This window comes from Homo sapiens, chromosome 2, assembly GCF_000001405.40.
Source record: "Homo sapiens chromosome 2, GRCh38.p14 Primary Assembly".
Taxonomy (NCBI): Eukaryota; Metazoa; Chordata; class Mammalia; order Primates; family Hominidae; genus Homo; species Homo sapiens.
The window spans coordinates 86,111,816-86,130,122 of NC_000002.12; the positions used below are offsets into that span (position 1 = coordinate 86,111,816).

The 18,307-nt window shown below is 41.5% G+C and overlaps 1 protein-coding gene across 1 annotated transcript in view; it reads left to right on the plus strand.

The window, feature by feature from the left end:
- The window catches only part of PTCD3 (pentatricopeptide repeat domain 3), a 35,923-nt gene that overhangs the window by 5,581 nt on the left and 12,035 nt on the right, over positions 1-18,307 (plus strand). Inside the window, exons 5-14 of the mRNA NM_017952.6 lie at positions 4,715-4,783; positions 5,240-5,344; positions 7,106-7,229; positions 9,664-9,779; positions 11,886-11,947; positions 13,180-13,267; positions 13,640-13,700; positions 13,980-14,065; positions 15,346-15,490; positions 16,126-16,176. Of these exons, the coding sequence (NP_060422.4) occupies positions 4,715-4,783; positions 5,240-5,344; positions 7,106-7,229; positions 9,664-9,779; positions 11,886-11,947; positions 13,180-13,267; positions 13,640-13,700; positions 13,980-14,065; positions 15,346-15,490; positions 16,126-16,176 (907 nt within the window). The remainder of the gene's footprint in view (positions 1-4,714; positions 4,784-5,239; positions 5,345-7,105; positions 7,230-9,663; positions 9,780-11,885; positions 11,948-13,179; positions 13,268-13,639; positions 13,701-13,979; positions 14,066-15,345; positions 15,491-16,125; positions 16,177-18,307) is intronic.

Below are 18,307 nucleotides of genomic sequence, written 5' to 3' on the forward strand. Positions count from 1 at the left end.
CTCACCGCAACCTCCACCTCCTGGGTTCAAGCAATTCTTCTGCCTCAGCCTCCTGAGTAGCTGGGATTACAGGCATGTGCCACCACGCCCAACTAATTTTGTATTTTAAGTAGAGACGGGGTTTCTCCATGTTGGTCAGGCTGGTCTCGAACTCCTGACCTCAGGTGATCCACTTGCCTTGGCCTCCCAAAGTGCTGGGATTACAGGTGTGAGCCACTGCGCCAAACTTTTTTTTTTTTTTTTTTTTAATTTATTTTTTGAGACGGAGTCTTGCTGTGTCGCCCAGGCTGAAGTGCAGTGGCACAGTCCCGGCTCACTGCAAGCTCTGCCTCCCAGGTTCATGCCATTCTCCTGTCTCAGCCTCCCGAGTAGCTGGGACTACAGGCGCCCGCCGCCACGCCTGGCTATTTTTTTGTATTTTTAGTAGAGACGGGGTTTCGCTGTGCTCACCAGGATGGTCTCCATCTCCTGACCTCCTGATCCACCCGCCTTGGCCTCCCAAAGTGCTGGGATTACAGATGTGAGCCACAGTGCCCGGCCTTTTTTTTTTTTTTTTAAGAATAAAATTATTGGCCAGGAGCAGTGGCTCACATCTGTAATCCCATCACTAATCCCATCACTTTGGGAGACCGAGGGAGGCTGATTGCTTGAGGTCAGGAGTTCGATACCAGCATGGTGAACATGGTGAAACCCTGTCTCTACCAAAACAACAAAAACAAAAATTACGAGGCATGGTGGCACCTGTAGTCCTACCTATTCAGGAGGCTGAGGCAAGAGAATCTCTTGAACCTGGGAGGCAGAAGTTGCAGTGAGCCAAGGTCCTGCCACTGCATTCCAGCCTGGGTGAGTTAGTGAGACTCTGTCTCAAAAAAAAAAAAAAAAAAAAAAATTTAAAATAAAATTATCAAATCCCTTTATTTGGCAAAGGAGGAAGCTAAGGTTTTGAAAGTGGCCAGTGGCTGGTTAGGATGTTAAAACCTTAATTAAAGGCTTAATTTCACGCCTTTTATCTCGAAATGCAGTGTTTTTCTACCATACCAGTGATCTTTAATCCCTGGAAGGGCTTGTTGAAATGTATGTTCTTAGGGGACGATTTGGCTGTAGTATACCAACTTGGAGAAATAATGTACCTGTCATGCTGACAATCATGTAATGATTAATAATCTGGGTCCTGGAGCCTACTGGTTTGTTTTAATAGCCAAGCAACTAGCTTTATGATCTTAGGGAAGTTACTTTACCTCTTGATACTTCTGTTTCCTGACTTATAAATTGGGGGTTAATTATAGCACCAAACCTCAAGGTTGCAGTGGAATTATTAACAAATGAATTAAGTATACGTAAGATTTAGGATAGAGTCTGGGACAAAGGAAATTCTTGGTACATTGTATTTTGTTACTGCTACTACTGTATTGTTGATTTCATTGACATGAAATTTTCTCTGTTGGCAACTCAAGAGTAGAGTTTGTAGTCTGGTAGATACACTGAAACTTTGGTAAATGCATCAGAAATGGAACTTTCTGCTTGGTTGTATTTTTTATTAACCAAAAACTTTTAATTTCGTCTGTGGGGAAAAGTCTAAAATAATTAAGTCTTTTTTTCTGCCACAGTATCTGTATGGATATTGATCCTCCTTAAGTCGATTATTACAAGTACGCAGAATTGTTCTTCTATTGTGGATATTAAACTACATCTAAAAATGGAACTACTAGGCTGGACATAGTGGCTCATGCCTGTAATCCCAGCAGTTTGGGAGGTCAAGGCGGGTGGATCCTGTGAGCTCGGGACTTTGAGATCAGTCTGGGCAACATGGTGAAACCCTGTCTCTACAAAAAAACACAAAAATTAGCTGAGCGTGGTAGTATGCGCCTGTAGTCCCAGCTACTTGGGAGGCTGAGGTGAGGCTCACTTGATCCTGGGAGGTGGAGGTGGAGGTTGCGGTGAGCCAGGATCGCACCACTGTACTCCACAGAGTGAGACCCTGTCCCCCCCGCCACACACAAAAAAATTAAATATAAAATAAAGATGGAGCTACTAAAGATAGTGTTGGGTCTAATGTGCACTGGTGTACTCTACCAGTTTCTGAAAAAGGACTTTACTACATCTCCCTACTTGCAAAGCATTGAGATTTTCAGTAGCTCACTTATCCATAAATAGGCACCTGAAATGTAAACATAGAAATGGACCTCCGAGATATTCTCAACATTTCAATGAGAATGGCCCAGGGCCACTTTCAAATCAAAGAAGTTATAGAATTGTGTGTAGAATTGTGACTTATCTGGCCCTTAAAATCCAAGAGTTATTCGTTTATCCATTCATTCAGCAACAATATTTTGTGCCCTTATGATGCTTATCAAGCACTGTGCTGGATATAGAATTAGACACAGATATTGTGTAGTTCTAGAGGGGAAGACTGAGGTAGCACTGAGAAGGGGTTGTATCGCCAAGACTGAGAAAGGAATTCTTTTTTTTCTTTCTTTTTTTTTTTTTAAAGAGACGGAGTCTCCCTCTGTCACCCAGGCTGGAGTGCAGTGGCGCAATCTCAGCTCACTGCAAGCTCTGCCTCCTGGGCTCACGCCATTCTCCTGCCTCAGCCTCCTGAGTAGCTGGGACTACAGGCGCCCCCACCCCCACGCCCGGCTAATTTTTGTATTTTTAGTAGAGACGGAGTTTCACTGTGTTAGCCAGGATGGGGGTAAAGGAATTCTAAGCAGACATTTTAGAAAAGAGAGCTATGTGGAGAATGGGAAAGCTTTCCACTTGAGAGTGTGATAAAGAGCTTAGCATATCCAAAACCAAACCCCATTCCCTCCAAACATTCCTCACATATTTCTTTGCCATCTCATTAATGGCAACTCCATTCTTATAGCTGCTCAGGCCAAAATCCTGGGAATTGTTAGCAAAGCCTTTGTTTATCCCTTCAAAAGATACGTGTGTGTGAGGTCTCCGTGACCACTCCCAGGCTAAGAGTTATGACAGCAAGAAGATACAAAGCAAAGTCAGCAAAGAGAAAAGGCTCATTGGATAAAGACCAAAAGAAATCAGTCACAAGCTTCCAAAAGACCTCTCCAGAAGATTCAACACAGGACATGCTTAATTCCTCCATCAGTGACTTGTGACAACACATGCAAAGTGTCTACCAAAGCTCATTAGAGACCCAGTGCCCAGAGTTTTTAGGGGAGGCTGGCCATGTAGACCACCCACTGGCTGGCATATATTATACCAAGTTTCCATACTCCCAGAAGGGAAGCAGGTGTTTGGCACAAAACACGTTGTACAAACAGGTTAGGCACAGTGAACCATTCTTAGCAGTTCTAGGAATGGTGAGAACCCTTCCAATATCCAGGTTCCCAGATGGCAGCCAAGGGCCAGCCTTGGACGCAGACCTTCCTAAGGATAATGGTTTCAGGTCTGTTAACTCTTTTCTGCAAAATATCAAAATTTTAGATGCCTGATATCACTACCAGTCACCTTGGTTATTGTCGTCTTACAAGTCTGGATTAATTGCAGCAGTCTCTGTCGTCTCCCACTGCACCTCCCTGCACACTGCTCTCAGTTCAGCAGCTGTAGTGACCCTGGATCATATCACTCTTAAGAATTCAACATTGGCTTTCCATTAGTATAATTCAAATAAAAACTGAAGTTCACAACAGGGCTGCTAAGGTGAGGCTCAAGGGAAAGGGGTTTTTGAAAGGGGTAGCAGAAAGCTAGGTCCAAAATAAAACACTGCCTCCAGGTTCCAGGTATGAGCAGCTTTCCGTTGAGAGCTGCAGGGAAGCTTCTGTGCCCCCTCCCTGAGGAGTCCAGGTCAGTAAAACAGCATTAAGGATATAGGATAAGTTTTTGCTTTGGAATAAAGGCCCAAGTAAGGCACTCAGACACAGAAGAGAATAAAGAAAGCAATTCTGGGGCATTTCTCAGTGGGGCCCCTGGTGGTATTGGAGAGTTGATTATGCTCAGGTTTAGGGAGCAATTTTAATGGGTAACAGGACGTGGGAGAAGGTTCTGTTGTTCATTCCTCAGAGGGCACGGTGATATCTTCCATTTGGAGGAGGGACTCTTGGTGAAGTTGAGCGTGGGTGGATAGTGACCTTGCTTTGGAGGAAATCCTATTCTGGGATTCTGCTGTTAGGACTAGTTAATTCAGATGATTCTTACCTAGAGTTTAAAACAGTCCCCAGTGGTAGCAAACTTAAATATTAAAATCAGCCATGGGGAGGGAGGCTTAAGCCATTGCTTGCCTTGCATAATTAAAGGCAAGTCTTGTAGAGCTGAGAGTACAGTGCAGGTGTTTGTCTTTTGTCTTTTTTCTCTATATATACATGTATATATGCCCACACACGTTTGCGCATTTAGGTTACATACATAATTACAACTTACGGAATTTTTGTTTATCAAAACTCACAAGGTCCTCTTAAAAATTTAGCTAGAAAGACTTGTGGGCTGGATACAGTGGCTCACGTCTATAATCCTAGCCCTTTGTAAGGCAGAAGTGAGAGAACTGCTTGAGGCCAGGAGTTTGAGACCAGCTTGGGTGACACAGCAAGACACCCTCTCTGCAAAAAATTTTGTGAAATGGCCAGCTGTGGTGGCACACACCTGTAGCCTAGGCTACTTGGGAGGCTGAGGCAGGAGAATCCCTTGAGTCCAGGAGCTAAAAGTTACAGTGAGCTGTCTTCAAAATAAATATAGAAATTGTATTATGTCTTTTCCACAGGATACCACAGCTGTGCCTTATGTGTTTCAAGATGATCCTTACCTTATGCCAGCATCATCTTTGGAATCTGTGAGTATTTTCATATAATTTTCTAGTGTTTTATCTCTCTGGTTTGCGTACAACAGTACATAAATAATTTAGTTGTAATAACCTGGGAAAGGTTTACAAATGCTGAGAAATTGATAGACTATGTGAATCCTTTACTACTTTCTTCAAAAAGATGTACATATCGTCAATGGGGAAAGGATTTTTGGTTTTGGTTTCTAATACTTAGGGCTTTTTCACACTGGAGTGACCCACTCAGTTTAAATGGCTTGCTTTTTATATATTTCAAGCTGTGTATAAGATGCTAACTGAAATTATATCACAGTAGAAAAGGTGGGATAGTCTATAATTTCTAATTGGGATTCTGCGTGTTGTTGCATTTGTTTTTTTTTGTGAGGGGGGAGAAATTCTTGCTGAGAGTGTAACTATAATCTTGCTTGAGTTTAAATTACATGTATTTAAATCTTTTTCTTTATATAGCGTTCATTTTTACTGGCAAAGAAATCCGGGGAGAATGTGGCCAAGTTTATTATTAATTCATACCCCAAATATTTTCAGAAGGACATAGCTGAACCTCATATACCGGTAAGGAGAGGTAGTTACATTATTTACATAATACTATTTTAAATGTAAATTAAACCAGGCTTTCATGGCTAATATTTCAGTAGCTATTTGAATACCCTCAATATTTGGATGATAAGCCTTTTAAAGTGTGGAGTTAGCTTTGATCACAAGACTAACTTTAAAATTCTTTCTGTATTTATTTGCTCTTCATCTTAATATTTTCCCCATTTGATTTTTGTGACACCATGCTCTTAGGTCTTTAATTCTATGACTGAAGTTTCCTTCACTACCTCTCTATACACATCTTTCTCTTCCTTTTTTTTTTTTTTGAAACGGCATCATGCTGTCACCCAGGCTGGAGTGCAATGGTACAATCATAGCTCATTGCAGCCTGGAACCCCTGGGCTCAAGTGATCCTCTTGCCTCAGCCTCACAAGTAGCTTGGACTACAGGGGTGTGCCACCATGCCTGGCTGATTTTTTTTAATTTTTAGTTTTTGTAGAGAACAGGGTCTTGTCTCACTGCACTGCCCAGGCTGGTCTCAAATTTCTGGGCTCAAGCAAACACCCTTCTCAGCCTCTGCAATCTCTGGGATTGCAGGTGTAAGCCACTGCTGCTTGCTCTTGATCCGCTTCTTTTTTTGTTTGTTTTTGTTTGAGATGGAGTCTCACTCTGTTGCCCAGGCTGGAGTGCAGTGGCACGATCTTGGCTCACTGCAGCCTCTGCCGCCCGGGTTCAAGCAATTCTCCTGCCTCAGCCTCCTGAGCAGCTGGGATTACAGGTGCCTGCCACCGCACCTGGCTAATTTTTATAGTTTTAGTAGAGACGGGGTTTTACCATCTTGGCCAGGCTGGTCTTGAACTCCTGACCTCGTGATCCACCCGACTTGGCCTCCCAAAGTCCTGGGATTACAGGTGTGAGCCACCGTGTCCGGCCTTGATCCACTTCTTAAGCATGGGTATCTTTCTTAGATTTTTATGCTCATTTTCTCTTTTTATTGTGTATACTCTTCTGTTTCAGTGACGCTTATAATCCATTTGGTACTCTTTTGTATATCTAGCCTAGATCCCTTTACTTTGAACTCCACATTGTATTTCCAGCTCCCTCTTTGTTCTGTAGTTTTGGAGTGAGGATTTATGCAGTGTGGTGGGTATTGTGCTTAGTGCTTGTCCATACAGTGGTGAGCAAAACAGATGCGCCTCTGCCCTCCTGAGTTTGTTGGTGGAAGTACTAATCTCAGACTCATCATATCTAAACTGCTCCCATATCCCTACATCTCTCTGCTTCCCAAAGCTCACAGGGAAACACACACTTCTTGTTTTCATAGTAGAACTTGCACATAGATGAGGAAGCCAGTGTGATTGTGTAAGTCAAAATATTAAAATCCTAAACTAAGACAGTGTCTTTCTCCATTAGATTGTGAGCACCCTGAAGGTAGAGAATGCCTTTCGTCTCTGTATCCCCAGTGCCAAGCTTAATGTCTGGGGTAAAATAGTAGGCATTCAGAAAGTATTTGAATAAGTTAGTGAATGAGGTAAAATCAGCATACCTTGGGTAGTATTAAATGTTTAGATGATACACAGCATTAGAGATGAAAGGTTTAGTTCAATTCCCTGTGAAGACAGTGATGTTAAAATGATCAGTAGTATCTGGTGCAGGAAACATGAATTGGAGCAGTGAAGTTTTACTTTGGTATGTTGGTGATAAAAGTTTTGTCCTACTCAGTTATCCTTCCCTCACCTTTACCTGTTTGTAGTAACTTTAGTCATCTTGTTTTCCTAGTGTTTAATGCCTGAGTACTTTGAACCTCAGATCAAAGACATAAGTGAAGCCGCCCTGAAGGAACGAATTGAGCTCAGAAAAGTCAAAGCCTCTGTGGACATGTTTGATCAGCTTTTGCAAGCAGGTGACTGAGTTCGATTAAAGCCCCTCTAATAACATGGGCTTTGAAGTGGGCCCAAGTTATATGATTCATATATTTTGAGTAAGAGTTACAGGTCCTGCTGTACTTACTCTGCTTTGATGGCTGCGTGCTTTATATTTTTAGTAGTTTATTTCATTTTTAGCTTTAGTGTTACTTAAGAATTACAGGCGAAGTAGAATTGCAGCTTTGTTGGTTTATTGTAGCACTGGTAGAGAAATTGTATCACCCTTCTACCTTAGCTTCTGTTTTTAATGTTAGGTAGGTATGCAGTGCTCCCAGATTTCCTGTACCCTTTTCCTTTTTTTTTTTTTTGAGATGGAGTCTTGCTCTGTCGCCCAGGCTGGAGTGCAGTGGCGCAATCTCGGCTGACTGCAAGCTCCGCCTCCCAGGTTCATGCCATTCTCCCTCCTCAGCCTCCTGAGTAGCTGGGACTACATGCACCCACCACCACGCCCAGCTAACTTTTTTGTGTTTTTAATAGAGGCGGGGTTTCACCATGTAGCCAGGATGGTCTCGATCTCCTGACCTCGTGATCCACCCACCTCGGCCTCCGTAAGTACTGTGATTACAGGCGTGAGCCACCGCGCCCAGCTTTCCTAGACTCTTTAAGGATGTTTGGAAGATTGGGCCACAACACACAAGAAAGAAATACGTGAAAAGGAAAGCACACTCAACTAGGATCAGGGGCTTTGATGCTGGTGCCATCTGTGTCACTAATTGTTCTTAGCATTCAAAAAGTTACTTAATTTCTCAAAACTTCTAGCTCTAAAATTGTGTGGTTCTCTGAATTGGAGCTGGATGTAAACTTGCGGAGCTACACACGTAAATAGCACAGCTGATAAGTCAACATGAAAATCTACATATAGCAACATCAGAAGCAGCTGGCATTAAGTTTTTAGAATCTAGAGTGCTATTTGGTGATTTAGAATAAACATGGAAGTGGTGGAAACTGGACTGAATCATTATACACTTGAACACAAGAAACATTTGCAGAAAGCTATGTTTGAGAATTTTGGTGTGTGGCTTGGTACAGCATCAGATGTATGGCTGAGTGATGGCAATAGATTGTAATTTAGTGAGGCGCTTCCCTCTGCTTGTTAATATGATCGGCATCTGGTGTGAGTCTGCATTGAAGTTCTTAGTGCTAAGGCTTGTCTTTTTCTAGTTTTACCCCCTTTATTGGATAGGTGTGTGCAGTCCTTCAGTAAAGACAGGTGTCAGACCCATAGCTCAGTAACAAAGTGAGCTAACATACCAGGGAAAGGATCCTAGAACATTTCATTGTCAGGCCCCTAATAAGTGCAAAACACTGTGCTAGCCATTTCACATACTTAATTCTACAATACCTTATTCATTGGTGTGTTTTATAATAATCTTATGAAGGTAATTATTAGGTAATTTTTCCAGGGTCTCATAGCTTTGAGATAGTGTGAACCAGTTGCTTCTCCATAGCCTGTACCCTCTGCCCTGCTTTCTCTTCTGGACTTTTTACATTTCCTGATGGGCATTTTAAATTTATCAATGTATTTTGTTTAGAAAGATAATTTATTGGCTAGGCATGGTGGCTCACACCTGTAATCCCAGCACTTTGGGAGGCCAAAACAGGAGGATTGCTTGAGCCCAGGAGTTCAAGACCAGCCTGGGCAACATAGCGAGACCTCATCTCTACAAAAAATTTAAAAATTAGCCAGGTGCAGTGGCACATACCTGTAGTCACAGCTGCTCGGAAGGCTGAGGTGAGAGGATCACTTGAGCCCAGAAGTTCAAGGTTGTAGTAAGCTGTGATGTCCTTGCACTCCAGCCTGGGCGACAGAATGAGACCCTATCTCAAAACAAAAAGATACATTTACTTTTCTTATAAGATAGCAGATTATATCTCATACTTGTCTTCCTCCTATTCCCTTTTTAGCCTTTTTAATGAGTGTCAAGATGGGGACATAATGTTTTGAACAATTTTTAAGAGACTACTATAGTTCGACAATTATGCTAGTATTTCTAGGCAAGTTTTCAGTGAGTATCTGGATCCAAATGGAATAATTCTACTTGCATTTGTTCAAATGCACCTGGGCTGGGGGAACTAAGTGGGGATAGTTTGCAGTGTGTTCAGTTTGGTGATGATAATTAAAACCATGAAGTAGTTTGAGGATAATGAGTACATAAAATAAGTGAGCACAGGCCCAAACTTCATCTTGTGTTCCAATCTTCTACGTCAAATTACATGGTTAATAGGGGTTATGTCCCTGTCTACGTCACTTCAGGTGTTTAAGTTGACGTTGAGTGCATAAAGTAGTGGACAACATTAAGTGTGTAGCCCTGAAGACCACCGCTAATATAAAAAAATGACACATTTTAACCTAACAGGCTTTAGTTCTTCATTGTTTCAAGGTTTCTTTATCTTTCTGTCTCTTACCCACAGGAACCACTGTGTCTCTTGAAACAACAAATAGTCTCTTGGATTTATTGTGTTACTATGGTGACCAGGAGCCCTCAACTGATTACCATTTTCAACAAACTGGACAGTCAGAAGCATTGGTAATAACTGTTGGCCTTGATTTTTTTTTTTCCTTAAGCTTCTTTTTGAAGAAATTGCTTTTAAAAATAAGATGGGTTGTTTTGCCATGTGTCAGGGTAGTAGAGATTTGTACTGAGATGTGTGGTACGATAGCCTTGATAAAAAGTGGTATAGGAGGAAGAGAGATTTTAAACAGTTACTTCTGTCCTAGTTTACTTTTTAACAATATGTTGTCCTCACCTACTTCATATTAAGGCAAAGCGTTGATCAGAAATGTTTGGGCTGGCCTGTGCCACTTAGAGTAATGACATGATGTATTCTGGCCAGGGAAAGACTCCGTGGCCTGGGCCCCCTCAAAAATTCATACGTGGACTTAGAGGAGAGAACACACTAGGCTGGAGACAGAACAGTAGTGTGCCGGGGCCCGCCTGTAAGTTGAGTCATAGCCTCTCTCTCGACTCGCGAATTTTACTTCTAGAACTAGGTCTCAAGAAATCCTTTGGATCAGTCAAATAGAGATGCTCATGTGACATTTTTCATGAGGAGGTATTTATACTTGCAAAAATGTTGAAAACAATCTAGATGTCCAACAGTAGATGATCAAATGATGATAAAAGTTGTGTGGCCATTGAGCACATTAGAGTAGATGTGTTTGGGTATGGAAACATTCATCCAATAAGTGGGAAGCAGGCTATCAGCAGTATATATTCCATTTTTGTAAAAATGTTTTTACAAATGCATACAAAAAAATCATTTAAAAAGTGTTTCTGGGTGATGGGATTATTGGTGTTTTTCTTCGTTTCTATCTTTTCTACTCTTTGCCCAACTAAATGTGGATTTCTTGTTTCCCCCTCAGAGACAGGGTCTCACTCTGTCACCTAGGGTGGAGTGCAGTGATGCTATCATAGCTTACTGCAGCCTTTAACTCCTGAGCTCAAGTGTTCCTCCTTCCTCATTCTCCCAAATAGCTGGGACCACAAGTGTGGGCCACCATGTCTGGCTAGTTTTTTTTGGGGTGGGGAGGGCGGGTAGACATAGGGTCTTGCTGTAGTGCCCAGGATGGTGTCTTCAACTCTGGGGCTCAGGTGATCCTTCAGTCTCCTAAAGTTTTGGGATTACTGACCACTGCACCTGGCCAAATGTGGATTATTTATGTAGAGAACTTTACATTTTTAAAAGTGCATAGGCAGTAGGTTGCAGTTAAACCTTGCTTTCCAGAGTATCACTTCCTGAAGCCCTGCTCTGGTTGGCCCTCTGCCTCTCCAGCCCCAGCTCTTGAGGCAGCAGGCTACAGAGCCAACACTGACCTCTGCAATGCCAACCAAGCCTGTATTGCTCTACGTCAGCCTCATCCCAGACCTTGGTTTATAAATAAAGACAAGATTTATTCTTGTAAGAAGTCTTGCCAGGTGCAGTGGCTCATACTTGTAATCCCAGCACTTTGGGAGGCCGAGGCGGGTGGATCATGAGGTCAGGAGATCGAGACCATCCTGGCTAACATGGTGAAATCCCGTCCCTACTAAAAAAAATACAAAAAATTAGCTGGGCGTGGTGGCACGCGCCTGTAGTCCCAGCTACTCCGGAGGCTGAGGCAGGAGAATTCCTTGAACCCAGGAGGTGGAGGTTGCAGTGAGCCAAGACCACGCCACTGCATTCCAACCTGGGCGAGAGAGCGAGACTCTGTCTTAAAAAAAAAAAAAAAAAGAAGTCTTAGTTTGCTTGGGTGAGTGTTAGGCATTAACTATATGTTGTTTATCTTGCTTTCACCCTAATTATGACAGTTTATCTGTATGGATCAAGCCAGATGTAGTCTCTGAGCAAATAGGCTGTGTTGTTTGGTTTTCCTCTTTCTGTCTGAGGACCAGGCCATACAGGGAACTGGCTTCATCTTGTCTCCACGCTGTCACTTGTTGCTTTGAGAGTCAACTTGGCCTTTCATCTGATTTGCACTTAAGAAATTAACTGTATAGGTGTAAGCGTAACTGGGCTTCCTCTTTGCCTTCTGCTGGATCTATGTTTCCTTTATTTTTCTGAGTTCCCTTTGCCTTTCTGATTTTGAGTAGTCTGACTGGGAAATGCATTCCATTGCCTTAACTTTTATTTCTTTTGATGATTATTCATTTCAGGAAGAGGAAAATGATGAGACATCTAGGAGGAAAGCTGGTCATCAGTTTGGAGTTACATGGCGGTATGTCACACGTAATTAGAACCTTGAATTACAGTGTCTTACAGTGCATGGAATATGCCCCATCACCCTGTGAAGATGTTTTCTTGTGATGTTCTAAAATAATTGATTTTTATTGTGCAATATAAATTTCACTATTTGTATTCATACACATTTAGACCGTTTTTCAATAAGGTCTTTATCTCCATTCAACAACACAAGAATCTGTTGAGACTTTGACCCTTTTTTTTCCCTCATCTGTTTAACTCAGCATAACTTTCATATGGTATGGTTCCTTTGGTAGTTTCATTAACAGTGCTACCTTGGAATATATACCTCTAATTCTGAAAGATTTAATACTTTTGTTTACTAAAAATATCATGGACACTAGAGTGTACTGCTAAATTAAGACCACTGACAACATGTAGACATACACAGCAGTTTGAATGAAAGGTAATAACTTAATTATATTGGAGAATTAGCTGGGTGTCTAAAAGGAAGACACTTCATGTGAATGTCTGGAGAGGGAAAGCTACCATGATTATCTAAAATTGTTATTGAAGTGATGAATTTGATAGGATGAAAGATTAAATTCCTTGGGGTAGGCTGGACGCAGTGCCTCACACCTGTAATCCTGGTGCCGTGGGAGGCCGAGGCAGGTGGATCACTTGAGGTCAGGGGTTTGAGACCAGCCTGGCCAACATGGTGAAACCTCATCTCTACTAAAAATACAACAATTAGCTAGGCGTGGTGGCACGTGCCTGTAATTCCAGCTACTCGAGAGGTGGAGGCAGGAGAATCACTTAAACCCAGGAGGTGGAGGTTATGGAATGAGAGAAGAGTTAAAAGTACATATGCTAGAATATGACCAGAAGGATCCAAAAGAAACCGTTTTGCCTCTGGGAAGTAGTATCTGAAGATTGAAGAAAGGTGAGGAAACTTTACTAGGGACTTTGTCATACAGTTGCTTCTTGTTTTTAATAGCACAGATATTTATATACTTGTTTATAAACTTTTCATTTTCAATTGTAATTCTGCCACTTAACCTGCGAAGCCCTGACAACACATTAAGATCGTTAAGTCTTGATTTTCCCCATTTTCAAAATGATAATAACCATAATACCCTGTAAGAATTGAGATAATGTATAGAAAGTACTTGGCACATTGCCTAGAACATAATAAACCGTCAGTAAATGGTGGTAGCTCTCATTGGTATTTCTTATTGCCTGGGTTCACATTTACTCTCTTGTGTCTAGAGCAAAAAACAACGCTGAGAGAATCTTTTCTCTAATGCCAGAGAAAAATGAACATTCCTATTGCACAATGATCCGAGGAATGGTGAAGGTACATTTGTTTTATTTATTTTTGTCTTTCATTTCCACCGATCAGGGTGTTTCAGCCTCAGAACTACTAACATTTTGGGTCAGGTAATTTGTTGTGGGGTCTGTCCTGTGCATTGTAGGATGTTAGTAGCTCCCTGGCTTCTACCCACTGGATGTGAGTAGTGTACTCCTCCCCCACTTTCAGTTGTGACAAATAAAAATATGTTTAGGCATTACCAGTGGATAGAAAATCCCACTGCACTAGAGTATGAGCTTCATGAGAACAGGAGCCTGATCTATTGAGCCTGAGCTATATTACCAAACTCTAGGACAGAAATGTGCAAGGACTTCTTAAGTAAATGAATTTGATGATGCTTAATTTTTCCTTTTCCAGCACCGAGCTTATGAGCAGGCATTAAACTTGTACACTGAGTTACTAAACAACAGACTCCATGGTGAGTTTGAGAACTCCCCTCTGTCCCTTTCTCCATTTCCTTCTTTTAATTGTCTGTGTGAAGGCTTTGGATCGTGCCTCAGTCATTGGCCTACACTTTACCTTTTCCTGAGGCGTAGATGATTGAAGCAAGAGTAGAGATCCAGAGAGGAGAGTAGTTTTCCAGTTTTGTGGACATGTGATTAGTCAAGGGACACATAGGAATGACTGCTTTGCCTTAAACTCAGCCATTTAGGGATTAATCTTCAACCCCAAATTTTATCATTTTATTATTTTACAGCTGATGTATACACATTTAATGCATTGATTGAAGCAACAGTATGTGCGATAAATGAGAAATTTGAGGAAAAATGGAGTAAAATACTGGTAAGGAGGAATCCTCAGTTTATTTTTTAATAGGGCTTAAATACTCTTTACCAGAAATACATGGGCTGGCCAGGTGTGGTGGCTCAAACCTGTAATACCAGCACTTTGGGAGGCCGAGGCGGGCAGATCACCTGAGGCCAGGAGTTGGAGACCAGCCTGGCCAACATGGTGAAACCCGTCTCTACTAAAAGTACAAACAATTAGCTGGGCGTGGTGGTGCACGCCTGTAATCCCAGCTACTTGGGAAGCTGAGGCAAGAGAATCTATTGAACCCGGGAGGCGGAGGTTGCTGTGAGCAGAGATCGCACCACTGCACTCCAGCCTGGGCAACAGAGCAAGACTCCGTCTCAAAAAAAAAAAAAAGAAAAAGAAACAGAAGTACATGGGCTGGAGACAGCATTTATGAGCATGTGTATGGCAGTCACTGTGTAGCAGTTACCTGTTCACTACCCTTTCCGCAGCCCTGGGACTCAGCTGTGTCTGGCACATAAGAAGAAAAAGTTGCTTGACCGAGAGTATAGAGCTAGAATTCTGGACCATTTTATTCATTTATTTTTCATAATAGTTTTTCTGTTACAAAGTAATGCATATTTGCTGTCAAATCCTATCAGGTGTAATTTCAAAAAGTTGAAATCACTGGATTGATTCTCGCCTAGTAACTTAAGAATAGAAACGGCTGGGCACGGTGGCTCATGCCTATAATCCCAGCACTTTGAGGCTGAGGCGGGTGGATTACCTTAGGTCAGGAGTTTGTGACCAGCCTGACTAACATGGTGAAACCCCGTCTCTACTACAAAAATACAAAAATTAGCCGGGCATAGTGGTGCTCGCCTGTAGTCGCAGCTACTCAGGAGGCTGAGGCAGGAGAATCACCTCAGCCCACGAGGCAGAGGTTGCAGTGAGCCAAGATCGCACCACTGCACTCCAGCCTGGGCAAGAAGAGCGAAACTTTGTCTCAAAAAAAAAAAAAAACCAACCACTTTTTTATATCATACTAGTCTATTATTTTTGCGTCTTTTCTTGGAAAACTCTCCTAGGTAGAAGACTGAAGACAGTTGACCACCTCTATCAAGTGGGGTGGGTGTTTGAATTAGCAGGCTTCTTTAAAAGGCAGAATCATGGAACCTGCTAATTAATAAACAGTTCTTAAAAGAGGGATATAGTTACTAACCTGCTTTAAACATAAGCAAGAAAGCTAAATTCTTTACTTTGTATGAAACATAGATTATTGGACAGATTACCCAGGCATGAAAGATACTTCTTGTTTTTTATTCACCTAGGAGCTGCTAAGACACATGGTTGCACAGAAGGTGAAACCAAATCTTCAGACTTTTAATACCATTCTGAAATGTCTCCGAAGATTTCATGTGTTTGCAAGATCGCCAGCCTTACAGGTTTTACGTGAAATGAAAGCCATTGGAATAGGTGAGGATGCGCCCTTGAGTTCTCTGAGGACAGAGACTGTGCCAGCCAGAGGTTTCAGGGCTACATAAGCAAAGAGCTTTAAATTATTCTTGTGCTTACATAATATGTTGGAAATTTTCTTTCCATGTTTGGCACATTTACTTACATGTACTTATTATAGTGGGAGTGCCTTTATCATCTTAGTGTTCATTAGTATTTTAGGTACTTTGTTTATGGATCTGTTGAATCTGAGGAGAAGTGATTGCTTTGAGTTAGCTAGTTTTAAATTCATGACATTTTCCCAACATAATTAGGTATTTGAACCTAAGTGTGTGCTAGTGTATTGTATATTTTTCATTAATTACTTTATTGAAAGTTGCTTTGGGAATCAATTCACTTCAATATATTTTACTGTTCTCAGTGAAGAATGTGACTAATAAGTATTTGGACTTTCAAAAAGTGATACAGTCTTTGTGATAGTTTTTTACCTTTACATTAATGAGTTGGAAAATAACTTTGTTCAAAGGAATAGAAATGCATATTTTGCTTAAATATTAACAATATGTTTTTAATTCAGTGTGTCTCAGTAAACTATGTTTTGGATTGCTGTGTTTTTACCTCATTGTTTATTTTTTCTGTCTACCTGGTAATTTGAGAACCCTCGCTTGCAACATATCACCATATTATTCGCCTGTTTGATCAACCTGGTATGTATGGCCTTAAATTGTGTTAATTTATATAGAAAATTGACCAGCTTTCTTGAGTTTATGTGATTAATTGTTGTAGTTATCTTCTCTGCATATGAATTAAGAAGAGAGAATTTGTAAATTAACCTGTACAGCCTGAGCAGAAAGTTGTGGTTTTTTTAGATACAGGATCTTGCCCATTGCAGCCTTGAACTCCTGGGCTCAAACAGTCCTCCCTCCTCAGCCTCCTGAGTAGTTAGGATTACAGATGCCCACCAGCATGCCTAGCTGATTTTTTTTTTTTTTTTTTGGACAGGGTCTTACTACCTAAAATTATTCTTGAGGGTAGCAATCTTGTTTGTGGTCTAAAACTTGAGCTGGAGGGGAGAGGGTTATGGATTGTACTGGCAGTGATGTTGTACAAACAGGAATTGGGTAGAATATATTTTGGTTGAAATTCCTTTTGTTCTCTGGAGCTGTGCTATTTAACACCATAGCCACTAGCCACATGTGGCCAGTTAATTAAAATTAAGTAAAATAATAAATTATTTTGTCACATTGGTGCTCAGTAGCCATGTGTCTAGTGGCTACCATGTGTCGTGATGCAGATTCAGAACATTTCCATCTTTGCCAAAAGTTTGTGGACGTTTCTGCTCCAGAGGAAAGGTAAACTTATTGTGAAGCGTTTTGGGAGGACCTCAAGGCTCCATGCGTTGTCCACTTTTAGGTCAGTTCCAGTGGGAGCTCTGCTCTGTAGTAGATGGACTTTGAAGAGAGACACACCTGAGCTGAGATGTCCACTCTACCATTTATTTACCAGCTATGTCAAAGCGACTAGATACCTACCTGAGGAATAGCAGCAGGGTGTGGTAGTTAAATGAGTTCCACACTGTGTCTGCTACTGTGCTTGGAGGGCACATATGAGGCACTCAAAATCTTTTGGTTCTTGTCCATTATCCCCAGCCTGAGAAATAACCCTTGAGTTCAGAATTGACAGTTCTAGTCATTCTTTCTTGTGGATAGACTATAAAAATTACAGAAGGGAAGTTGTTTCTCTCTGGTTTGGAGGACTAATTTTGTAAAATCCATATCCTCACCTGTATAGGCAAATTTTATCTTTAGGAAAAGGAACCAGTTAATTGACTATACCTTGGAAACAGGTAAACAGTTTCCATAATTGTGTCCCCTAAAATTTTACTCAACCTTGGTGAGATTGTGATGGAGCTAGTATTTCTGACTCCAAAGTATATTCCTTTCCTCTGTAACTCTCATCACTGGTTCAATTGCTAATCAAAGTCAGATGTACTTACATTTCCTAAGTAACAGCCAGGACTGGGGGATGGGGGTTCTGGGGGAGCTGTGTTGGTTTGTCTTATGTATATAAATTTGCCTGTCTGCAGCAGTAGTTTTGGCTTACGCCTGTAATCCCAGCAATTTAGGAAGCCAAGGCAGGAGGATTGCTTGAGCCCAGGAGTTTGAAACCAACATAGAGAGACCTCCATGTCTACTAAACATGAAAAAAGTAGCTGGGCATGGTGGCGCACCCCTGTAGTCCCAGCTACTCAGGAGTGTGAGGCAGGAGGATTGCTTGTGGCCAGGAGGTTGAAGCTGCAGTAAGCTGCGTTTGCCCCACTGCACTCCAGCCTAGGTGACAGAGCAAGACCCTGTCTCAATAGTAATAATAATTTCTAGGAATTTACCCAAAAGAGAGAGCCTAAAATAACCTAGAAACAATACATTGAAAAGAGAATATTATGTAACTAATAAAATTAAGAATATTAGCAAAGGGAAGCATGCTTGAGTAAATTGTGAAACTCTATCTGTACTGTCATTACAGCTTTACTACCACAAACATACAAAACAGGTAGGGAAAGGAGTGTAGAGAAATATTTGACTGGGAATATTGCAGATGATTTTCTGACCTATTAGTGCTCAGTTCATGTTATATTTAAGAACTGCCCTGTCCATTAATTCTAGTTTACTTTTTCTTGACCTCATTCTGATTATATTTAAAGGGAACACAAATGATTACTAGCAAAAAACATTTTTAGCCGGGTGCAGTGGCTCATGCCTGTAGTCCCAGCACTTTGGGAGGCCGAGGCGGGCAGATCACGAGGTCAGGAGTTCAAGACCAGCCTGACCAACATGGGGA